This window comes from Homo sapiens, chromosome X (assembly GCF_000001405.40).
Source record: "Homo sapiens chromosome X, GRCh38.p14 Primary Assembly".
NCBI classification, from domain to species: domain Eukaryota; kingdom Metazoa; phylum Chordata; class Mammalia; order Primates; family Hominidae; genus Homo; species Homo sapiens.
In genome coordinates, this window is record NC_000023.11 from 112757087 (window position 1) to 112781537 (window position 24451).

The 24451-nt window shown below is 41.4% G+C and overlaps 1 protein-coding gene and 1 non-coding gene across 8 annotated transcripts in view, besides 1 other annotated feature; both read right to left on the bottom strand.

The window, feature by feature from the left end:
* Positions 17791-24451, bottom strand: part of AMOT (angiomotin) — a 65955-nt gene continuing 59294 nt past the window's right edge. For all 7 annotated transcript variants that reach the window (NM_133265.5, NM_001113490.2, NM_001386998.1 and 4 more), the window contains 3 exons: positions 23800-24032; positions 21911-22594; positions 17791-21578 (listed from right to left, as the gene is read on the bottom strand). In NM_133265.5, the coding sequence (NP_573572.1) occupies positions 21481-21578; positions 21911-22594; positions 23800-24032 (1015 nt within the window). In that variant the 3' untranslated portion in view covers positions 17791-21480. The remainder of the gene's footprint in view (positions 21579-21910; positions 22595-23799; positions 24033-24451) is intronic.
* Positions 22307-22807: an enhancer, noted in NCBI's record as "H3K4me1 hESC enhancer chrX:112022621-112023121 (GRCh37/hg19 assembly coordinates)". NCBI's record gives its function as "activates a minimal SCP1, AML or CMV promoter by ChIP-STARR-seq in primed H9 embryonic stem cells {active_cell/tissue: H9 hESC(primed)}" and the evidence as "EXISTENCE:reporter gene assay evidence [ECO:0000049][PMID:30033119]".
* Positions 23632-23702, bottom strand: MIR4329 (microRNA 4329). The gene has a single exon (NR_036255.1). It is a non-coding gene; the product is annotated as a microRNA 4329 (primary transcript).

A 24451-nucleotide genomic window follows, 5' to 3' on the forward strand; every position in this document is an offset into this window, starting at 1 on the left:
GTAGAAGCCCTACTTAACGCCTCTAACCTAAACACTGTACTCCAACTTTCCTAGAGAGCCACGCATTGAGTTTTCAGCCGCTTTTTTTTTCTTTTTATTTTCCTTTTCTTTTTTGTTTTTTTGTTGTTGTTGTTGTTTTTTATTTTGAAGCAAAGTCTCATTCTCTCATTCAGGCTGGAATGTAGTGGCACGACCTTGGCTCACTGCACCTCTGCCTCTCAGGTTCAAGTGATTCTCATGCCTCAGCCTCCCGAGTAGCTGGGATTACAGGCATGTGCCACCACACCCAGCTTTTTTTTTTTTTTTGTATTTTTAATAAGATGGGGTTTCACTATGTTGACCAGGCTGGTCTCAAACTCCTGGCCTCAAGTAATCTGCCTGCCACTGCCTCCCAAAGTGCTGGGATTACAGGCATTAGCCACCACTCCCAGAGTTTTCAGCTTTTCTATTAAAGTGATATTTTGTTCCCCCTTTGGCTACTGATCCTTGCAAATCTTTCCATACAGGATCTCATAAGGGGAAGGGCTGGTTGGCAAGGCAGGATTTTAGCAGTCTATATATTGCTATATATACTAGCAAAATTTTACCCCAATTCCTAACAGAAAGCTTCTCTCCTGGGTCTCTTTTTTATCTCAGGCTGTTCCATCCCAGGCTCCATTACTAACCTCTTTTTCTTTTGCTCGCTTCTTAAGTGCTGCTGTTCTTTCTTTGTCCTTTTTCTCTTTGCACTCTGTATACACTCTATGCAATTTCAACTGGGCCTGTGGCTTTAAATACAACATACAGATGGATGAATCAAAAATCTTTATCTCTAGTCTAGAGCTCCCTCCTGAGCTTCAGACCCATATATCCATCTACCTACATGGCATCTCAGCTTGAATGTGCCAAAGAGAGATCAAACGTAATGTTTCCCGCACAGATTATCTCTACTCCCCACTCTACCAGCCTTCTCCTCCTGTGTACTCGTAGTCCATTGTACCACTGACCCTACAAAGTGACTCAAGCCAGAAACACCGGGATTCATATTAGATTTCTCTCTCTACTTTCCCCCACTACAGTCAATCATTCACCATGTCCTGTGAATGCCACCTCCTAATTGTCTCTGAAATTCATTCCCATTGCTAATACTTGCCCTAGTTCAGGCACTCATTACTACTCATTGAAAGAGAGAGAGGGAGAGAGAGAGAAAAAAAAACTATTGTCAAAACTTGCTTTAAGTCTGACCCCTTTCAATCAATTCTCCAGGCTGCTGAGAGAATGATTTTCTAAAATGCAAAGCTGGCCATGTCCCTCTCCTGCTTAAAACCTTCTATAACTCTCCAGAGGGTCAAGTCCAAATCCCTGTGTGTGCAGGTGAGACTCCTTATGATGCGGTTTCTGCCTACCTGCCCTGCTTCAGCTTTAAACATTTTTCAAATACATTCTGTCCCAGTCATTCTGAGAATCTTGCAGTCCCAACTCCAAACATACCATGCTACTTCTGAATTTCATGCCTTTGCCTGGAATGCCCTTCGTCATAATCCCCCTCCCACACAAATCCTATACTACGTCTTCTCGGAGCTTTGCTAGGTGACAAGCTAGCCAACACCTGATAGACACTCATATTGAGATGTGTGATAATGGCTTCTTTTGGACATATGAAGGAATAATAATAGTAATAGCCAATATTTATATAGTGATTACCGTGTGGCAGGCATTCTTTATTTACTTTCTTATATTAATCCATTTAATCCTCATGACAGCTCTGTGAGATAGATACTGTTATCATCCTCATTTTCTCGATGAGGACACTGTATCATGGTCACACAGCTTGTAAGTGGTAGAGCAGGTACAATTCTAGGCATTCTGGCTCTGGAGTGTGCGTGTTTTTAATCACTGCCCTCTTGCCATCACATTGCCTTAATTGTGTCACTAGTTTCTGGAAGGCAATATGATATAGCAGTTGAGTGTGGGCTCTTCAGACAGAACTTGTTTCAAATCAAATCTTTGCCACTTACCAGCTGTGTGACCTTGAGCAACTGAATTAACCTCTCTGATTCTCAGCTTCCTCCTTCTAAAATGGGGATATTTGTTGTAAAAATTAAATGAGATAAGCAATATATTTAAGTGCTTAAAACAGTACCTGGCACATATTAAGTATTTCACAAATGCTACCATTGTTGGTTGTTACAGTGATTAAGAGCAATGATTCTCTAATGGTGGGGATTTCAGACATCAAGGAGAAGGGACTGTAGCAAAGCGATTAAGAACAGGATTTTGAATCTTAGCTCTGCCTCTTAATAAATGAGTTAATCTCTCTGCATCAAAATTTCTTCATCTGTAAAATGAGGAAAGCAGTATTTCTTTCTTAGCATTATTTTGAGGATGAAATGAGTTAATAGATGTAAGACACATAGAGCAAACCAGGTATTTAGTAAATACAGTAATCTCCCCTTATTAAGCACTTTTGTTTTCCGTGATTTCAGTTATCCATGGTCAACTGCTGCCCAAAAATATTGAATGGAAAATTCCAGAAATAAACAATTCACAAGTTTTAAATTGCCTGCCATTCTGAGTGGCATGATTAAATACCTCACCATCCTGCTTTATCCTGCCCAGGACATGAATCATCCCTTTGTCCATGTAGATGTCAGCCACCTGTTAATCATTTAGTGGCTGTCTCGGTGATCATATCAACTGCCATGGTATTGCAATGTTTAAGTCACCCTTGTTTTTCTTCATAATAATCCCAAACGGCAAGAGTGATGATGCTGGCATATCATTTTAATTGTTCTATGTTATTATTAGTTATTGTTGTTAATCTCTTACTTTGCCTAATTTATAACTTTACCATAGGGATGTATGTATGGGAAGAAAACATAGTATATGTAGGCTACAATACTATCTGTGGTTTCAGGCGTTCACTGGGGTCCTTGGAATGTGTCCCCCTCATATAAGGGGGGACTACTGTACTACATAACTGTTGGTTTATAATAACAAATAGATTTCTTTGAAGCCTTTGCCTCTTTTGCCCATATATGGTTCACCCTAAATGCAACTTTGTTTTGGTAACATCTGTGCCAGACTGCTGCTGCTGCTTTTTTTTTGTTTGTTTAATCATTAGCACCCTTAAAGGCAGAGACTTGACTTTCTCATTATAATCCCATAGCCAGCACAGTCTCTGGTACATGGTTTGATGAATGAATGAATGGGTCTGTATGGAAATATGAATACATAAACAAAAGAATGAAAAATTGGGCTGAAGTTCTGTGGCTGGTATAACATCTACGGATGGGACCAATTTTTTTAAAACAAACAGTAGAATGGAAAGCTCCCTTCTGCCCACTGTGGGGACTTATTAAATATTTAATAAATGTCCCTTAAATAGCAACATTCAGATGGCATATTCCATTTCATTTAACTCGAAATGCTACTTCGTTTTTCTTCATCTGAAAGCAAGCATGACAGATCATTTATTTTGCCTTACATATCAAGCATCTGCCTGAAACAGCTGCTTCTCTTCAAAACCTGGCAGCCTGAGGGTCTGAAACTGATCTAACTAAAGAAAGGTGATGTGGATTTTTGCACTACTCTGTCCACCTCTTCTTTATGGAGACTCTTGAAAACAGAGAAGGCTTTTCAATCCTGACTGTGTATCAGAGTAATGTGGGAAGTTTATTAAATATGCAGATACTCAGATCCCATGCCAGACCAACTTAATCATATCCTCTGGGAATGGAGGCCCAGGAATTTGTATTTTTAGATACTGCCCAAATGAATTTTAAGCAGTGCTTTAAAGAAAGTCAAGGTTGGCCAGCAGATGTCACTGAATCTTTCCTAGCCTATACCACCCACCTGTCCTGTTGTCCTAAACTTTACTCATTTACTTGAAAACGATGACTATAGAAAGTAGTTCTGACTGTATTCTTAGAGGCATCCGTAGCTCAGGTCACATGGACCATAAGAAAGAACAAGTGCTCTGTCATACATAGCATCTGGAAACTAAATGTTTTCCTAGGCAGGTTGGTGAAGCAAGGACAGCAGGCAGTTTTGCCTGTGCAGGAAGCAGCCCCCAAGCCTGTGGTTTTTCGTTCTGTCCCCATGCATTGACCTGTAAGGTGATGTAGTCTGAAGAAGCCCCTGTTCCTCTGCATCCCTGGAAATAAATCTGCTCAATGGAGCACAGAATCAAAAACAGCAATAGCAATAATTTACAAATAAAGAAAAGTATATTTTAATTTTTAAATTGACTTCAATTTCTATTTATACTTCCAGTTCTAGAGAAGCAGGGGGAGAAACGTACCAGAGGAAGGTGCAGAAATAATCCCATCTGCTACAGAAGGCCTCCACAGAACTTGACCACTAAAAAAAGAAACAGACTGTTCCTTGCTTCAGCGACTCAGCTTCTCATGGTTCAACCTAGCCAGCTTTACCACAGAAGGATTCGGCAATTTGCTCAGAAATATGGCTTTAGTTTAAAACACAAATGACCCCCTGCTAAAAAAACAGTTGTGGATTCCACCAGCCCAACACTGAATTTCATCTATCCTTGTCTGGGGATACAGGCGCCAATTGTTCACATACCACACACTACTCCTCCCTGTGTTTAGGGGCTGCAGATCAGGCTGGGGTTTCTGTTCCTCTTGATTTGTAGCCACTTCCTCCATGGCTCCTGTGTGCAAGTCTGCATGTACCTTAAGTGTGATGGGATGTTTCTTAGCTCAGGACTCCGTAACAAATACCATAGACCAGCATACTTGTATCGACTGGATGGCTTAAATAACAAAGATTTATTTTCTCACACTTCTGGAGGCTGGAAAGTCCAAGATCAAAGTCTGTCAGGCAAGGTCAGTCTTCTCACTGTGTCCTCACATGGTCTTTCCTCAGTGCATGCTCATGGGAGGAGAAAGAAACAGAAAAGCAGTGGGAAGAGAAAGAGATAGAGAGTGCTCTCTTCCTCTTCTTAAAAGGCTGCCAACCTTATTGGATTAGGGCCCTACCTTTATGACCTCACTTAACGTTATTACCTCTTAAAAGCCCTATCTACAAATGCAGTCACATTGGGAGTTAGGGCTTCAATATATGGATTTGGGTGGGAGTGGACACAATTCAGTTCATAGCAGGAAGTATCAAGTAGGTTCACTGTGTACCAGTTACCAACTTGTCTGAGTCTGCTGAAATAGAATACCCACACATGCAACGAGTTACATGAAGCAGATTTATTACTTACAGGTAGGCAGCAAGAGACAACAGATGCCTAGAATTCATTATGAACTGGTCCCCCAAGGCTCAGAAAGCTGCCTGGGGTGGATGGAGTCTTGACTGAGTATGCCCCCACTTTCACTGTAGATGAGAGACCCCAGAAAGCAACCCACCCTGGGTTTTACACCTAGAGTCACAGGACTCACTGGGCTAAAGCATCCCTGTTTTTTGGGGTAGGGAGGTGCTGAAACAGTCTGGGCTGCTTCAGCCAGCTCCCCACTTATCTCAGGATGTTGCATTCCCAGCACATTCTAGTCTTTCTGGAGAACTATGAGCAAGAAAAGGGGAAGAAATGATTAGATCTAAAACTATTCAGAAAATAGTCCTGCAGGAAGTCAGTGTAAAAACAATGAAAACGGACACTTAGGCCAGCCTGCAAGCAATTTCTGGAGAGGTCCAACCAAGAAAGAGAAGCACATATCAGACAAGGGAAAGAGTTACCAGCCAACACGCCAGTCAGTCTGCACTCTGCAACCCTCACCTCCCACTTCTACACTCAACCAGTTGCCATCCCCAGTGGATGGATGTGTACCTCTGCCAAGGGGTGTCGCTTTAGCCCACATTTCAACAGGTACCCCAGGAAGTAGATTGATGCTCTCTAGGGCTCAATTATCTTCCTTCCAAAAAGAAGGAGAAGGAGAAGTTGGATGATTTGGGTACCAATTATCAGCATGATAAGTAAGAAAAAATGAGTATTAGCTAGGTATCACAAGAGCAGATAAATGATCATAATTTCATTTGTAGAGTATGGTTTACTTTGACTAAGTATATTCTGGCACATTACATCACTTGGTCCTCAAAGTAAACCAGGAGTTATTATTCTCATTTATCAGATGAGGAAACAGATGCCAAGGAGCTATGACAGTGTCCAAAGTCACAAATCCTGTTACTGTTGAAGTCAATGCTGAAGTCTTAAAGAATGTCAGCAATCATCAACAAAGTAACAGGGCCACACTGGCCCCTTGAGCATCAGAAGTGCTGTATGTACACAGCACCACACAATTTAGCACTGGTTTCCTCCAATTACTTTGTTTGCATTTATTTGGTTTCTATGAACTGGAAGTTTCTCAAAATCAGGGGCCCAGGCTTATGTATTATCGTATTGCCCGTAAGGCTTACTATAGGACTGCACTAAGGTGATGAACTTTTGGCTGGGCACAGTGGCTCACGCCTGTAATCCCAGCACTTTGGGAGGCCGAAGCGGGCGGATCACGAGGTCAGGAGATCGAGACCATCCTGGCTAACACGGTGAAACCCCGTCTCTACTAAAAATACAAAATATTAGCTGGGTGTGGTGGCGGGCGCCTGTAGTCCCAGCTACTCGGGAGGCTGAGGCAGGAGAATGGCGTGAACCTGGAAGGCAGAGCTTGCAGTGAGCCGAGATCGTGCCACTGCACTCCAGCCTGGGCAACAGAGCGAGACTCCGTCTCAAAAAAAAAAAAAAAAAAAGATGATGAACTTTCTGAAAATACTTCTTTCTTTCTTTATTCCTTTTTAGAGACAGGGTCTGGCTATGTTGCCTAGGCTGATCTCGAACTCCCAGACTCAAGTGATCCTTCTGCCTTGGTATCTCAAAGTGTTGGGTTTACAGGGGTGAGCCACCATCGTTGGCCCAATACCTAATGTTGATAATAACACTCTACAATTTGCAAAGGGCCTTCACATATTCGATCTTTGTGGAAACGACAAGAATAGCATGTTTAAAAATGTCACTTCGTTTACCAATCCTCATGATGCTTATTTTAATCCTATTTTAGTGTAGTCATTTTATAAAACATTTACTGAGAACTTACCATTATTTTTATTATTAATAACTAACACTCATTGAGCACCTACTATGTAGCAGGCATTAAATCAGGCACTGTGACAAATGCTGAGGACACCTAAAGAAATCACGTGTACTTTTCTAAAGGAGTGTGACTAAATAAGTACTGCAGCATGATAAATGTCTGGTAAGTGATTATTTGGCCTCTGGACTGTACTTCTCTAATGATGAGGATCTAATCCTTCTCTAAACAGCTCATTCCATTTTTGGAGAGTTTAGATAGAAAGCTCTCACTGCAGAAATTTCACTCCCCTTTGGTTCTACCTGTTGCTCATAGGCCTAGCCTTGGGGCTATATAGTGTAAATCTTCCTTTTCACTTGACAGCCCTTCAAATATTTGAAGACGACTGTCATTATCAGCCACCCCCTCTTCAGCTTCTCTGTCTCTGCCTCTGTCTGCCTGGACTACCCCACAGCTGGACCTACTGATCTACCCCAAGGACTCTATCCCACCTCAGGAAGCACTCAAGCAGCCTGCCTCAGGTTCCTTCATACTAAATTCCAACTGCTGGGGCTTTGCACTGGGGCACTTTCCTTGTTCTGTTAATTTCTGAATTGCAGCTTCTTCCCCACCTGTGCCCTAGTTTGGAAAAGAAGGCTTCTCGCTGGATCCCTCATCTGAGTTTCTGGCCTGAGAAACATGGCTGTGAAGAGAAGGAGATGAGGCTGCAGCTTGAGCACCTTGATTAGATTGGGGGAGGACCCAGGGAGGAGGGAAGAGGTTGCAGACAAGGGAAACTGGGAGCTTGTGGGTGGATCAAGGTGCCTGAGGATGAGAAGGGGTGAGGTCCAGAGCGAAGATTGAGGTGTGAAAGTTAATCTTGGTCTGGAAGGATGCTTTATCCTCAGAGACCAGAGAAAAATGTGAGTTGAGTGAAGCTGTTGGTAAGTCTGCCATTGGAGAAGTCTGGACATTGAGGTTATTCCTGAGGCAGATTTTGAGCTGGTTAACACCATCACAGCAATAGTAGCTGTTGACAGCTGAACTGCTTTCCGATTGGCTCAACGACTGCGCTCTACCTATTGCTATATGTTTTTAATATGAACCTCGTGTTCCCAACTGCAGACTCTGCTTCCACATTGAAATGGGCATTGACTGCTATCTGTGAGTAAGGGAGGTGAATATTTGCAGGTTGTGTGAAAAGAATACTATGTGTGGAATACTTGCTTAGGGGAACAGGACCAAGGACAAGTACAGAAGGTCCCAGCTGAAATTGGAGCCTATGAATGTGTGATGGCACCAATCTGCACATCTTTCTCCAGCAACCACAATAGCTCAATACAGGAGGGGGGAATGCAGTTTGCTAGATTAATCATTCATTCATTCATTCATTCATTCATTTATTAAAAGTATTTACTGAGCACTTACTTTGCATCAGGCACTCTTCTGGGCTCTGGAGGTACAGTAATGAGCAGATATAGACAAGGTCATTTGCAATATCAAAATGGCTGTAGAAGTCAGCATATTCCCTTTCATTTCCTGGAAATCATGCAAGAGCAACAAGGGGAATGCAATAAAAAATCCCTACAAGCTCCACGCATCTACTAAGACAGATATGTACAGATTCAAAAATGTATGTAGTAGCTGCCAAAAGTAACAAAAATACGAGAAAAAAGGGAGAAACTGGAAGACAGGGAGGAAGGGATGGGAGGCAGTGAAGAGACGTGCTGAGAATATAGAAAGGACGGCGTAGATCTCAGAAAGCTTTAACAAAAATATACTTCCTGAAGATGAGGGATCCACCTGAGTTGTAAAAACTATACCCTAGTTTTCAACAAGTTCAGAAACCTTGGTTTCAACAAGTTCAGAAACCAAGCTTTAACAAAAGTATACTTCCTGAAGATGAGGGATCCATCTGAGTTGTAAAAACTATACCCTTGTTTTCAACAAGTTAGAGCAGGGGCAAATGCCCTCCCAGACGAAGTTTGGCTTAGAGTGGCTGAAGAGGTGGGACTAGACAAAGAACCACACAAAGGAGCCATATTTGCAGTAAGCAGTCTGTTTCTCTGCCTGTAGCGGAAGAGGTTTTTGACTGTGTTAAATAAAATTTATAGGAGGCTATTGATTTGGACTGAGCTCCTGCACTAGGCCCCAACAGACCAAACCAAAATGGAATCATCCATGCTAAAGATACACCAACAAGCTGAAACTAAGTTGTTTATCTGATCTTCCGAGAAATCAGGAGAGAAAGAAAGAAAATGGCCAAATCCCCAAATAGGCCAGTTTTAGTCAGCATGATAAGGAAGTCCCCTCTGCTTTAACCTTTACAAGGAAGGTACGTTGCAAATGACAGATCTGCTTTTTGTTTCTTGTTCCTGCTTTCTTCGGCCTTTTTCTGTCTATAAATACTCACTGCCCAAGTTGCAGACTGGAGTCCTCTGAACCTCTTTGGGTTCTGAGTACTGCTCGATTTATGAATCATACTTTGCTCAAATAAACACTATTAATTTTGTCTAAATTTTTTCTTTTTTTCAGATTGTGAAACATGGAGGACTACCTTGGTCCATTTTTCCATCAGTGGAGCCACCTGTAAGTAGCTGAGCTAGGATAATCCAAATCATGCAAAGGTGGATAATTAAAAACGGACTGGCACAATATTGATAAAACCACACTATTTTTTTAAAAGGTGGAAAAGTACAACAAAAACAAAACACCACAAAAATTTTGCTGATGAGTAGATTAAAACATTCCTCCATAAAATTTAAAAAATAATTAAGTAATTAACCATCTAAATGAAGAATAGAAAGCGGAGATTAATGAACTGTGGAAGAGATGGTGATACAACAGAAGAAAGTGAAACTTGAGCTGGCAGAACTCAGTGGAAGTGGTCAGATTCTGGGTAAATTGTGAAGGTAGAACTGATGAGATTTGCTGATGGATTGGATGTGTAGTATGAATTACATAGGACAATTTTAATATATATATACATATATACGCATGCATATATATGTATATATGATGTACAGATTCAAAAATATATGTAGTAGCTGCCAAAAGTAACAAAAATATGAGAAAAAAAGGGAGAAACCAGAGGAAAGGGAGGAAGGGATGGGAGGCAGTGAAGAGAAACACTGAGAATATAGAAAGGACGGCATAGATCTCAGAAAGCTTTAACAAAAATATACTTCCTGAAGATGAGGGATCCACCTGAGTTGTAAAAACTATACCCTAGTTTTCAACAAGTTCAGAAACCAGGATGAGTAGAGCAGGGGCAAATGCTCTACTTATGTACTTTGTACATAACCAAAGAAATTAACATATATATGTTATATTCCTGTGTGTGTGTATGCTATATTTCTTTGGTTATGTTTCTTTGTTATGTTTCTTTGAAGATTCTTGACTAATACAAGTATCATCTCTTTCTACTCTGATTTCCCTGTATTATACTTTCTCTCATGTTGGAGATCCCACAAAGGCAAAGTTGAGTTGGAAATACATTCAGTTTGTGTTTAGCGAGATACGTTTATATGGTTTTCAGTCAGTCCTGTGTGTAGACAAATCATTGCTTACTTATCCTGGTAAAGGAATGGCTTCCAGAAATACCCCTACAGTTTATTCTGCTAACTTATCCAGCATAGTAATTACAAAGGTGCAAAGCCAGAGGTCTTATCACTATACGAAAGTGTCTTATGGTACTTGGCACTGAAAGTGTGTGATATTGGAAGAGAAACAAGATTTGAAATGTATGGATTCAGATGCTAGTCCATGACTAATTCCTTCAATCACCTGATGTGCAAAATGGTATGCAGAATATTCAGATCTCATTAATGCCTAAACACAGAGGAAATTCTCTTCTGTTAGGAATATACTCAATAATACAATGTACACAACTATGAATTGTGCTTTTATTTAATCTGTGATGGGAATTGCATAAAGCATAATTTATCAGAATTATTATGTTCGTAGAGCACAAACATGAATTAGTTCTACAGCACTGAGAACATCTGTGTGTAAAGTTGTGTGCTTTAGCTTCCCAAATATCAGTAATAATAATAAATTTTTATCAACCATGCTAGTGGAAAGACTGAATTATCTCAATATTGCAAAACCATTACCATATAAAGAAGGAAACGAAGAATATGAAGCCAAACATGCAAGAAAAAAAGTACTATGGAGGTGTGTTTGCTGTTAATTAATTAAAAAATACTGTTCAGGGTTTTATATTGTGATGTTTGTGGTATTTCTCAGCTTTTAAAAATTTGTACTTAGCTGTGATTTCTAGTTTTACATAATTAGTATGTGGTTGTGTATTCATAATTTTTAAAATTCTTTTTCTTAAAGAGGACTTTCCAAATTGTGTAAGCTTCAGGACTCACAAAGTGTGGATCTGCTGTTGGGTGTGAGAGAAAGAAAAGAGTATTGAAAGATATGCACCACCCCAAACCCCACCCCAGCCTTTTTCTGTTAGATCTTACAACTTTGGCTGTTGCAAAGAATACCTAAGTTATGTATCTGTCACACAACTAGTTTTCAACACCTGGCAGTTCACAAAAAAGTAATTTTATTTTCCCCTTTTCCTATCCCTAGTTATTCCCATGGGTATTATGGTGGCTCAGCAACCGCCACACTTTTCTTGACCATCTACTGAGACATGACAAATGCCTTGAATATTTCCCTCTTACCCTCCCTTGTTTGTGCCACTTAGCCCTTACAAAACTGGATAAATGCAAATTACCACAGACTCATGGCTAAAAATATATACAAACTCTCCTGCCTTTCCTCTGTTTTGGTCTCCTCAGATTTTGGGGGCAAATTCATTCTTGTGGACCTGTCTTCTTTGGAAAACGATATACAAAGTAGGAGAATGGAGTAGGTATAGCCAAAATGGGAGACTAAATTATCAAATACAGATACAACTATTGAGGAAAAAAATTGAGGCTTCATGGGTAAATTTGCAGGCCTGTAGAATATTTTCAGTATATTCAGATTTAATTTTTTTTTATCTGTGCTGCATAGCCAATTTGGGATCCGTGTGAAAGAATTTATGACCTCAGAGGCAGTATTTAGTCTCATGGAATCACGGAATGTAAGAGCCAGATGGGACATTAGAGATCATAATCCAGTGACCTCATATTACAGAACGGTCATTGGAGGTAAATGAGCTGGCCAAGATTACAAATGTGGTTGTGGTTGCCTCAAGAACTATAAACCATGTAAACCAACAACAAAAGTAGCCAACAACATGACCTGTTTGATCAGAGCAGTAAATCCAACTACTTAGAGTCATATCTGGGGAGCTGAATAGGCAGCCATTTCACCATAGGTACTATGGGTGAATTAAGAAAATAAAGTGACTGTCCACTGAAGTACCAGGGTGTGTGATAGCTAATATCCACACCAGACTTGCCCATTTGACAACATGCAGTTGGGAGTCTGTTATGTAGCAAGGGGACTGAAGAGATGAAGAGAAGTATATAAATGCCAGGAAATCCTTGGCCAGTGCTTCTCAAAGTATGTGCTTTCAGAAGGAGCTACAAAGATCTAGCAATTCCGCTACTGGGTACATATCCAAAGGAAATGAAATCAGCATGCTGAAGAGATAGCAACATTCTCATGTTCACTGTAGCACTGTTCACAGTAGCAAAGATATGGAATCAATCTAAGTGTTCATCAATGGATGAATGGATAAAGAAAATGTGGGGTGTGTGTGTGTGTGTGTGTGTGTATATATATATATATATATATATATATATGCAGAATGGAATACTATTCAGCTGTAAAAAAGAAGGAAATTCTGTCATTTGCAGCAACATGGATGAGCCTTGAGGATGTCATATCAAAGTGAAACAAGCCAGGCACAGAAAGAGAAATACCGCATGATCTCGCGCATATGTGAAATCTAAAAAGTTGTCCTCATAGAAGTAGAGAATAGAATGGTGGTTACCAGAGGATGGGGAAGGTAAGAGGAAGGAGAGATATAAAGCTATATAGTTAAATAGAGGGAATAGGTTCTGGTGGTCTATTGCATAGTAGGATGACTAGAGTTAACAATATATTGTATATTTCAAAATAGCTAGGAAGAGAGGTTTCTGGATCTTCTCATTACAAGGAAATTATAAATCGTTAAGATGATGGATATGCTAATATTCCTGATTTGATTATTATACAATTTGTACATGCATTGAAATATCACACTGTACCCCATAAATATGTACAATTATTGTGTGTCTATCATAATTTTTTTTTAATCCCCTGGGAAGCTTGTTAAAATGCAAATTCCTTGGTCTTACTCTAGAAGTACAGGATAAGCGTCTCTGGGAGCAAGGCCAGGGAAAAGGTGATTTCAAGACAGATGGTTTGGAGCACACTTCAAAAATAGTTGCTCTAGGTTAATATCAGAGAAAATAATGATGTCATCTCAGTAGCATCCTTTGAGCATAAAGAAAAAAAGATATTCATTACATTTTGTGACAATGATTCTGATGGAATAATAGTTCAAGATATCTGCATCCTGGTTCCAAATTCACTAATTGTAAAACTTTGGGTTAGTTGTTTTACCTCTTGTGACACCATTTTACTCACACTACAATTGGAAGCTTTTGAAAGATTGTAAGCAGGGAAATGACATGATATTAATTATATTTGTTGCTGACTAGTGACTGGAATAAAAACAGTGGGACAAGATTGAGCATGGCAGGCTGGGCACAGTGGCTCACACCTGTAATCCCAACACTTCGGGAGGCTGAGGTGAGTGGATCACTTGAGGTCAGGAGTTCAAGACCAGCCTGGCCATCATAGCGAAACCCCCATCTCCACTAAAAACACAAAAATTAGCTGGGCGTGGTGGTGGGTGCCTGTAACCCGCTACTTGGGAGGCTGAGGCAGGAGAATCACTTGAACCGGGGAGGCCAAGGTTGCAGTGAGCCAAGGTTGCGCCATTGCACTCCAGCCTGGGCAACAAGAGTGAGACTCCGTCTCAAAAACAACAACAACAACAACAAAAGATTTGGCATGACATATCAGTGAATAGGCTACTAAAATAGTCTAGGTGAAGGATAATGGTGGCTTAGAATAGGCTGTTGGCAGTAGAGTTGGAATGAAGTGAATGAGTTTTGAGATTTATTTTGATAGGATCAGTAATAGATTGGATGTTAGCTATCAGAGAGAGAGAGGTATCAAGGATGACTCATGAGTTTCTGATTTTGTAATGAATGGTTGAGGTTCTTGGAGGGTATGAATTGATTGCAGGTTCAAGTGATTGAGTTTGAGGCCAAGAATAGATGGGTAAGAGCTAAAAGTTTGGGAGGAAATGGAGGCATTGAGGGATTTGAGGTCTCTTTGATGTGAAAAGGTAGATAGAGTCAGAGCAGGCAAACTGAGAGGGTGGGAGACTGTGGTCAGAGAGTGGGGTACTGGTGGACATGTCCACAGTGGAGCAGTGCTGATTGATGACCAGTTCTGGGTTGGCCATGGGCACAGTGAGCTGAGGTGGAATGGACGTGGAGGTCAGTGAAGGCAGAGAGGCCAAGGAGCTGATGGGCCAAGATGCTGTCTGGGTTGTTTGGGGTAGAGAGACAACTGTGACCAGGGCCCAAAACCATCAGTGCACTTGGGATAGTGACCAACTTAGTAAACGAGGGTAAACAAGGAAAAGCTGGATGACAGGGACATTAAGGGAGACAGAGCTTTTTATATGAGTGAAGGATAAATAATAAGTTGGAACCTACACTGGAGAGCCTTAAAAAAAAAAAAATCCTGCCCTTTGATATGTGGGTTGTGAGAGAAGGAACCCCTCTTATGTTTCAATTTAAAGCATGAGTTGTGGTATGAAACCAAGAAGCTTTGTAAGTGGCAAAGCACAAACATGCTGTCGTTTTGTTTGTTTGATGTGTTACATATTTTGGTTCCAGATATAACACTTGACTTTTTCATTATTAAAAATTTTATCATTATGCATATTGAAATATTTATGGATGAAATGCTATGATGTCTGGGATATGCTCCAAAATAATATAGGGTGGGTGGGGGTGATAAAGGAAGCACGATCAGCCATGTACTGATAATTGTTGAAGCCTAGAAATGGGTAAATGGAGGTGCCCTAGGTATTCAGTTTTTGCATATGCTTGAATTTTTCCTTAATAAAAAGTTAAAGAAACCATCTCATCTTTATAGATTCAGCCCTTTGCTTTGACTGGCATCTTTTTTGTTTTGTTTCGTTTTCGTTTTTGTTTTTGAGACGGGGTTTTCGCTCTTATTGCCCAGGCTGGAGTGCAATGGCGCGACCTTGGCTCACGGCAACCTCCGGCTCCCGGGTTCAGGTGATTCTTCTGCCTCAGCCTCCCAAGTAGCTGGGACTACAGGCATGCGCCACCACGCCCAGCTAATTTTGTGTTTTTAGTAGAGATGGGATTTCTCCATGTTGGTCAGGCTGGTCTCAAACTTCCTACCTCAGGTGATCTGCCCGCCTGGGCCTCCCAAAGTGCTGGGATTATAGGCATGAGCCACTGTGCCCAGCCTTGAGTGGCATTTTTATATTCTTACTTTGTTAGCCTCTCCTATCCCTTTCCACAAGGTTCACAGGGACAGGTATTTATCCCCATTTTACTGATAAACTTCTCTGATCCTGTTAAGGAACTTGCCCACAAGTAAGTATCTGTTTAGTGGCAGCTGTAGGACTGAAACTTTATGTTCTCTTGACTTCTAGACTAGTATATTCTACCACCTGACTGAGTGAGTTTGTGTTTCCATTTAGTAGGTTGTTAAAATTCAGAGCAGTTCTCTAGGGACTTTGATCTTGGAAACGGAGTCTTCATTTGATTGCGGGTCTGACAAAGTGAGATTGTCCTTGCACATGCTATGCCTTCTGCATGGAATGTTGATCCCCATCCTCTGGTTCACTTAGTTAACATCTACATATCCTTCAAAGCTCAGTTTAGTTCCTCTCCACTCCCCTCTCCCTATGCCATCCCAACAATCATTCCTTCCTTTGCATTAGTTCTGTATTCTTGTTCAAACCTTTGCTATTTCATATATCACAATGAATTATAAATGTGTGTGTCTGTGTGTGGTTTTCTGTAATAAACTAGAATCATGGACTATTTTTAAATTTTGTATTCTAGGGCCATCTACATAATGGCACCATCTAGTAAGTAGTTATTCAACAACTCACATGTGCCTGAATCCATTGGTAGAGGCTACTAGCAAATAAAAAAACACGGATACCAAAATACATACCATGGGCTTGGTTAGTTTGTGCATCTAAAGGGTGGGTATTTGTAATGTGTTATAAAATTTTGGTGCTGTGGGGAACATTTTTCTTCTTGAAAACTAAGTCTTGTAACACAGGGCTCTTCACTGAAATACAAGGGCAATTGCCAGTCAATGTAGAAAGTGATCTAAGACCAAACCATGTACATTTTTTTTCTCCAATAAAAACCTTACTGCAGAATAAGATGGAGGTGGGAAGCAGAACATTTTTTTTCTGCCACTGTGTAACTCATATAGGGTGTGCAGATCACTTATCTCAATAAGAAGTGCACACAGAAAGGGAGAGATGAAGTACCATGCAGATGCCAGATCAGTTATATAACTGGATAATAATATCTAGAAATGCTCCTACAATGCAATCTAACACTTTTTTTTTTGTTTGAGACGGAGTCTCACTCTGTCGTCCAGGCTGGAATGCGGTGGCAAGATCTTGGCCCACTGCAACCTCTGCCGTCTGGGTTCAAGTGATTCTCCTGCCTCAGACTCCCAAGTAGCTGGGATTACAGGCACCTGCTACCGCGCCTGGCTAATTTTTGTAGTTTAGTAGAGATGGGGTTTCACCATCTTGGCCAGGCTGGTCTTGAACTCCTGAACTCGTGATCCACCCTCCTCAGCCTCCCAAAGTGCTGGGATTACAGGCGTGAGCCACCATGCCCGGCCAATCTAACACATTTTTGAAGGAACATTTGCTTTTTCTTTCAACAAGTGACTGCTCCTTAAGAAATGGGCGCAATACATTTCTGAAAAGAATGCTTTGCAAAGCTTTGTAAGAAGGTCTGGTTAACTTAATACCTTATCTTCTTTGTCCTGAAAAAGAGGGAGGCCTTTCATCCATACGGTTTTCAAAGCACTTATCATAAATATGGAGGGAATCAAGTCCAACTTTAAGAAAAATCAAATTTACAGTTGAATGAATTCTAGACCCCTGCCCTATCCCTTTCGCAACACCCATCAAGTCTATTTCACTGTGAAAACGTGTCATTTCAAAGTCCTTGGGGATCCTTGCCTCACCAGTCAGGTTTGGAACTCATTGGTAAACAGGAGGCACAGAAAGGGCAGTGTAAAGGCAGCCTTAACATTTTCAGTGAAGAGCCAACTCGTTTGTGGTTTTGATTTGTTTTTAATAACAAGCTCCCTCAACCAAAACTGATGAATTGGCATCAGAACAAGGGTACAAAAGGAATATCAAGGGGCCTTCCAAAATGCTAACCAAAGGATAAATTCTCTGCTTTGGGTGGCCATCATTTTATCCCTAGAAACCAGAAGATAAAAAGATGCAAAGCTTTTAATATATGCTGCCTGAGTATATAAAGAGACCGATTAGAGCATGCGGCCTGTGGTGTTGTCTTAATACTTTATAATCTATAATCACATTCCATACTTCAAGCAAATGCAAATTCTGCTGCACGCTGCCCTTGAAAGGCAATTTCACTGCATACTGAATTGAAAGTAATCACTGATACAGCACAAATAAAGCCTCTGTCGGGTAAACACCAAAGCATTTTCCACACGGTACTGCATTTTAAAATAGCTAACTTTATTGTCAGTGAAAAGATAGGCACAAAGTGGATTTAAACCTGCTTAACTTTATTGGAACTAGCTCAGTTGATTACAGAATGGGGTCACAATCATTAGGGGACCACATACATTTTAAACCAAAGGCGATTCTTCTCTAGCCATCTGCCAACCCCAGCTATCCATTTTACAAACACATGCCATTAATCACAAGGGAGGCCAGAAGGAGGTTTCATGGCTCCATGTAACCCATCGTTGCTACTGGAAAAAAATAAACAAACTCCCGACACTTGTCCTACTGATGATGGATGGCACTTGGAAGACATATTTCCAAGAATCGTGGCAGGCTGAAATTGGTGGCAATTAGCCCACAGCTGATACCTTCCTTTGAAAACATTTTCAGTAAGAATGCACACGTTTTAAGTAACATATTCCATATGCACATAAGCAATTGAGATAATAGGAGACTGTGTAGCTAACAGATATGAGAATATAATTGATCAAAGTTAGTGCATATGTATACACTTTAAGCTGCCGCATTATGAGGGTTTAGGCTTGTCATAAAAAGTAGTTTGCACAATCAATCAGTTTGTTCATTTTCCAATTGTTATACCCACCCAACAGTGTAACAACAAAAAGAGAACATGATGGGTCTCTGGGTATCTTTCCTATGGCAGATGATGGCAGATATTTTAGGTTCCTGCTGTCCTATTACCTTGAAGCTCAAAAGCAGCATTAAAAGGAAATCCTTCATTAAATCAACAATCAAGATACATGATTTTAAAAGAAAGCTCAAGCTACTTTTTATTTCAAAAAAAGACTGTTAATAGGAGTTTCATATCAAGTAAAGTTTGTTCTAATGAAGTTTTTCTATACATGGAACACTGGGGTACAACTGAATTAGAAGGTCCTCAGAGATCACCAAGCAGTACAAGCTAAGACAACCTGGTCACCCTCCTTTCCTGAGGTGCCGGTAAAATGCACAGATAGGTAGGAGTCCAGAAAGATCCCCCAAATGTTATATCCACACAACTGTGAAAAGGTGGCTAATTGAGATTTCTCCCATAAACTTGAATTTTTGGAACAAAAACTAGTGGAGATCTTCTGAAAAGGCTGTATCTATCTTCTGCATAATATACTGACATACTCTTCTTCCCTCTCTTGGATGTACAATGTTATTTTAGCAAATTATCGGGGATTGGAAACTGAACAGAGAAGAACTGTCTCTGGTGTGAGAGGGTTCTGGAAAGTTCAAAATAGTACTCAGCCAAGAACTTCTTCCTTTCCCCAAAACACATGAGTCTAAAGAGATGGCTACCACACAATGTGGAATGTATGACATTTGTCACCTTGCAGAATGTGATTAAAATCATGGCTCCCAGAGCCAGCAAAAAGTCTGCCAATGTGTTATAACCATGAAAGGAGTAGGTGAAAAGTGTTTTTTAAATTATTTGGATAGAAAGTAGCTCTCCTGAAGTTTGCTACTTGCTGCTTCTACTATTTGAGTGTTTTTTTCTCCTTATGACTAAAGGGTAGTATGAAAGAGTCTTAACACAACTGCACTTTTAATTTCTATCTGAGATTCACTTTATAACTGAGGACTAATGTGTATGTAACATGATTACCTCATTATTGAAAATGTGAAAGGACTAGCTGAAAATCACATCACCCTCCTTTATGTCTCTACACACACACAGGCACACACACAAAATAATTCCTTTGGAAGATAATTAGGAAGGATACCATTCCTATACTCACAGAGGAACCCCAAAAGATTATCTAAGATACCCAATCTCCTAGAAAGAAGTGGGATTGGTTTCTCAGGGGGACATTTATGTGACTCTATGTTGAAATGCAGATCAGAAAAGGGAAAACCTTTTAAAAGGCACTGAAGGAGAGGCAAGACAGAAATTCAGTAGTTTGTCAAGACTGGACAAGCTACTCCAACCAGGTACATTTTACAAGATACATATTCCCTGGACCATGAAGATGCCTTTTCATAAAATGGAATTTAAAAAAGATAAAGAGTTTCCCAAAATAAGCATGGTGATTGGCATAATGGTTAGCTGTGTTGTATGACTTTCAAAAAGTCACTGAACCTCTCCAGTTCTCAGATTCCTCATCACTAAAATGAGGAGGTAGGGCTATATTGCTAAAGTTCTTTCCCACCACTATGGCTCATGATGTAATATATCAGGCCTACTCTTCTATTAATCTGGTTTCTAACTAAGACATCCCAAAACCTCTACCCCCAACCCTTACCTAACACCCCCCACTTCCCTCACCCTCCCTATACCCCTTAAAACTGATCTTAATGATGCTATCTGCAGATTTCTCACCTTAATGAAGGGCAGACAGGTGACACAGGGCAGGGACCTGTGGCAACTGGCATCCTTCTGTGTCCTTGGAGGCAGCCCTATGGCAAGGCTTGGAGCCATTGCCTCCTTTGATCTCTACCCACATGCACATTTCCTGCTGCTTCCCAAAGGTATTCCAAGATGGTGTCACTGACAGTGAGAAGAGGTAGTTGAGGATACTGCTGCAATCCACCTCTCCCCCGACTGCAGCATAGTACTTTGGGTTTCTCAAGCTATTCCCTTGGAGGTGATAGTCAAAAATGCCTTTTAAGACATATGCTTAGAATTTGACAAACAAAACAAGTTATTTCAAAGTAGTCACCAGAAATTCAAAGCATTCAACCTGTCAACAAAGATCCTTCCTCACTTTGCAAATGATTGGCAATTTGAGACTGGAGACCCAGCCAGTGAATCTGTGCTGTAGAAGAAATAAACACTAAGCTGATTGGTCTTACTAAATGCAAGCAAGCTGTGTTCATGGCTACACACAAACCATGGAAGTCTGCATATAGCACCCCATGCAACTCTCCATCAAGGCCTCTGATGGTCTAATTCCCTAAGAGAGAGGAAGTTGCGCATCACTCAGTTAATGTACTCTCCCAGCATCTGAAAGCAATATATTAATTATCCAAATGCATAAATTACTCCAGAGCATATATATGAATGTATGAACCTCCAGGAGGGAACCAAAAGAATCCATTTCCAAAGCACCACTGAAATGAAGACAAACACAATTCCCTGGGGCAGGGTAGCTGGGAAACTGGAAGAAAAAATTAGCTCCAGTACCCTTCTGCACCCCAAAACTCCCTACCTTTTTTCCAGCTTACATAGCTCCTGAAACTATTCCCTTTTGTAAGCCTGAGGTGAGTGCTTTCTCCAGCTGCTGCACAGGATAGTAACTATACAAAACAGCACACACTCAATTCTCTCTAGCTTCCCACTTCCAAACTACGTGTTATACACTGTCTTCCACACATACTGTGCTCTTCAATAAAAAATGATCTAGAATATGGAAAATTTAAACAAATTTAAGCACATTGAAAACGTCGATGTATAGCCACCTGTTAACAGTCCCAGTATTCGTATAAATTCAAACAATAAGCTTTAGAGCACATTCTGATTAATCTGTCTTTAGAGGTACTCCCTAAGCATACCAAAATAGACTGGTGTTCACATGGTATTACTCAAGTAGTACATTGTTCCAATAAAAAGTCCTGTTAAAAAACATCCCCTCCCCACAACCCTTGTCCTCACCCTCAAAACAAGAACCAATAAAAGGGGGAAAATGATTAAAAGCATTTTTGCTGATAATCTGCAGCTCTTGATTTGGCCGTTTAGATGAGATATTCCACCATCTCTGCATCAGGCTCTTGTCCCAGGATCTGAATGGGAGTTTTTCTTTCCAGAGTATTGGAGTGGAACACAGGCCCATCTAAATGGAAATAAGGGTTAGAAAACACTTAGGGATGAAGAAAAAACCCATATTTCTAGAACCAGACACCATCAGAGCCCTCATGAAGCCAATGGCAAAGTGAGACTTGCCTGCCACCTCCCTCATTTACTTCTGCTAAGATAATGGCCTCTACTCATGCCTGTTCCCATCTTGGTGGATGAGAAGTCATTTACAGACTCTCTTCTCTCTCCTTTAGAACGTGAAAAACTCAGTCCAAATGATAACTCTGCCCAGACATCAGACAACAAGAAATAAATCTGTATTTGAGAGCAGAACTAAACCAAAACCTACCTGCTAAAGGGAATAATTACCTGTTTTGTCTGGATTGCAGGTCAAACTTGGTATAGACAAACGATGTGGTCCAGGACCGGTAGCTGGACTTGCAGGAACCTCAGCCTGAGCCACAGCTGGAGTTGGAGTTGGAGCTGGAGTTGGAGCCACAGCCGGAGCTGAAGTTGGTGCCTGAGTCTGAGCAGGAGCAGAAGCCTGAGCCGCTGCTGGAGCTGGAACCGGAACCAGAGCCGGAGCTGGAACTGGAGCCGGAGCAGCTGGAGCAACCTGAACAGCAGCAGCAGCAGCAGCAGAAGGAGCAACGGCAGCAGCTGAGGCAACAGAGGCAGCAGCTGGAATCTGACCAGCAGCAGCTGGAGAAACAGCAGCAGCAGTAGCAGCGGCAGTGGCTGGAGACGGGGCAGCAGCAGCAGCTGGAGCAGCAGCAGCAGCAACAGCAACTGGAGCAGCAGCTACCATGGTGGTGGTGATGGTGGCAGCAGTGGCAGTGATGGCGGCAGCAGTGGCGGCAGCAGCAACTGGAGCAGGAACAGAGATGGGAGCAACAGCTGCAGTTTTGTTCGATTCCGTCCCACGTTCAGTTTGGGTACTGCAGTCTCGGCTGCCTGTCTTGGAGTGAGCCGAGAGCAGGGGAGTCGAGGGTGGCACAGGCGAGGGTGTGGAAGGGACATATTCAGCACGGTAGTCTCCACCCAGGAGAATGCCTACAAATGAAAGAGGAACAGATGTTAGAAAACAATAGGTGATTCAAATCCAGACATCTAATTACCTGTTCTCCCATTCAAATTTCAGAAGAAATTTATTTATTTTTAAATAAGTAAATATTATTTAAATATTTAAAATATTATTATTTTTAAATATTAAATAATTTAGAATAGTCTAAGTTATTTATTTTTGCCTCCAGGGAACCCAGAAATCAGTGTGTGAGGCTCCTCCAACCATGGCTAAAAGTTTCCTACAGACTTCGAGGATCCCTTCTGGTCCTCATCCATCACCTGGCACAACATATTAAGCCTGTAAGTGACCTGGGTATCTGTTTTGATTTATTTTTCCAATGGTGATTGGGTTCCACCAAGTTGTCAGAATGCTCCTACTCGGCTCCACTTATAAACCATTACCACACGTTACCAGGGAGCAAGAAAGGATCTGGGGAAGAAGTCTGTTGACACAGATTGAGTGTGGTAATAATTGTGTGATCTGAGGTTCTCACCATGACCATAGTCCCCAAAATGCTTATTCTAACCAAAAGATATTACAAGTATCAGAGGACCAAGAAAGGAATTAACAGCAACAAAAAGGGTTAAAATAAAAATATATATAAGCTTCCTTCCTCGGGCTCTAAAAATGTGCCTCGTGGTATCCACAATATGTCTGGGGTTTTGATTAGAGGGGAGGGAATGGACAGGAACGGAATGAAAAAGTACATTCTGTTCTCATCTCACAACACTGTGGGAACAAAACCTGCTACCCAAACGATTTAGTGTAACTAAAACTCTGGGTTCTCCTATTATAGAGGAGGAAGGAACACAGAAATGCCGGAATTTTGACATTTGGAACGACACAAAGGCCACATGGGCTTTGGAGAAAGATAAAGGTGCCACATGGCAAAGGCCAAATCTGAGAATAGTTTAGAGGAAATTAGAGTTATCTTCCTTGACACCCAAATGAAACTCAAGATTCTTGTCCTCTAAGCCTTGGCCTCAATCGGTATTCTCACCGGGAGACTTCAAAGTGTGGAGGAGCTCCAGAATGTGGAACTAGGGTCTCAGGAGGAAAAAAAAACTCCAAAACCCTGGTACACCTTCCTCTCTAGAACCTGGACCATCATCCCTTTTCCTTAAGCATGGGTGCTTATCTCAGGGCTCTCTTTGAACACGTGACTATAATCTTCCTTATTTACTGTCATTACCTAGGCTCCCCTTCCAGCTCTTGTCGTCTCGCTTTTCTTCCATGATGGGGGAGCCAGTCAGGGTGGATGAGTGGGAGAGCAAGCCTGATCCAGCATTGGAAATGGACATCAGAGACTTCGCTGGCCGCATGCACGACAGCTGCTCTGTCTTGCTCGGCTCCTTCCGGGAACGCTGCTGGAGTACTTTGATCATGGCATCCTTCTCAATAATCTGGGCATGGAGGGTCTTAATCCTAGGAGCCAAAGGCAAAGAACATATAAAGACCTTGTTGTGGGCTGGGCGCGGTGGCTTACGCCTGTAATCCCAGCATTTTGGGAGGCCGAGGTGGGCGGATTGCAAAGTCAGGAGTTCGAGACCAGCCTGGCCAACATGGTGAAACCCTGTCTCTACTAAAAACACAAAAATTAGCTGGGTGTGGTGGCAGGCGCCTATAGTCCCAGCTACTCGGGAGGCCGAGGCAGGAGAATCACTTTAACTTGGGAGGCGGAGGTTGCAGTGAGCCAAGATAGTGCCACTGCACTCCAGCCTGGGTGACAGAGCAAGACTGACTCCATCTCAAAAAAAAAAAAAAAAAAAAAAAAACCTTCTTGCTACCTCCACATTTTGGTCTAATTGACTACATGACTACGTGGAGCTCCCATTATCTTTTCG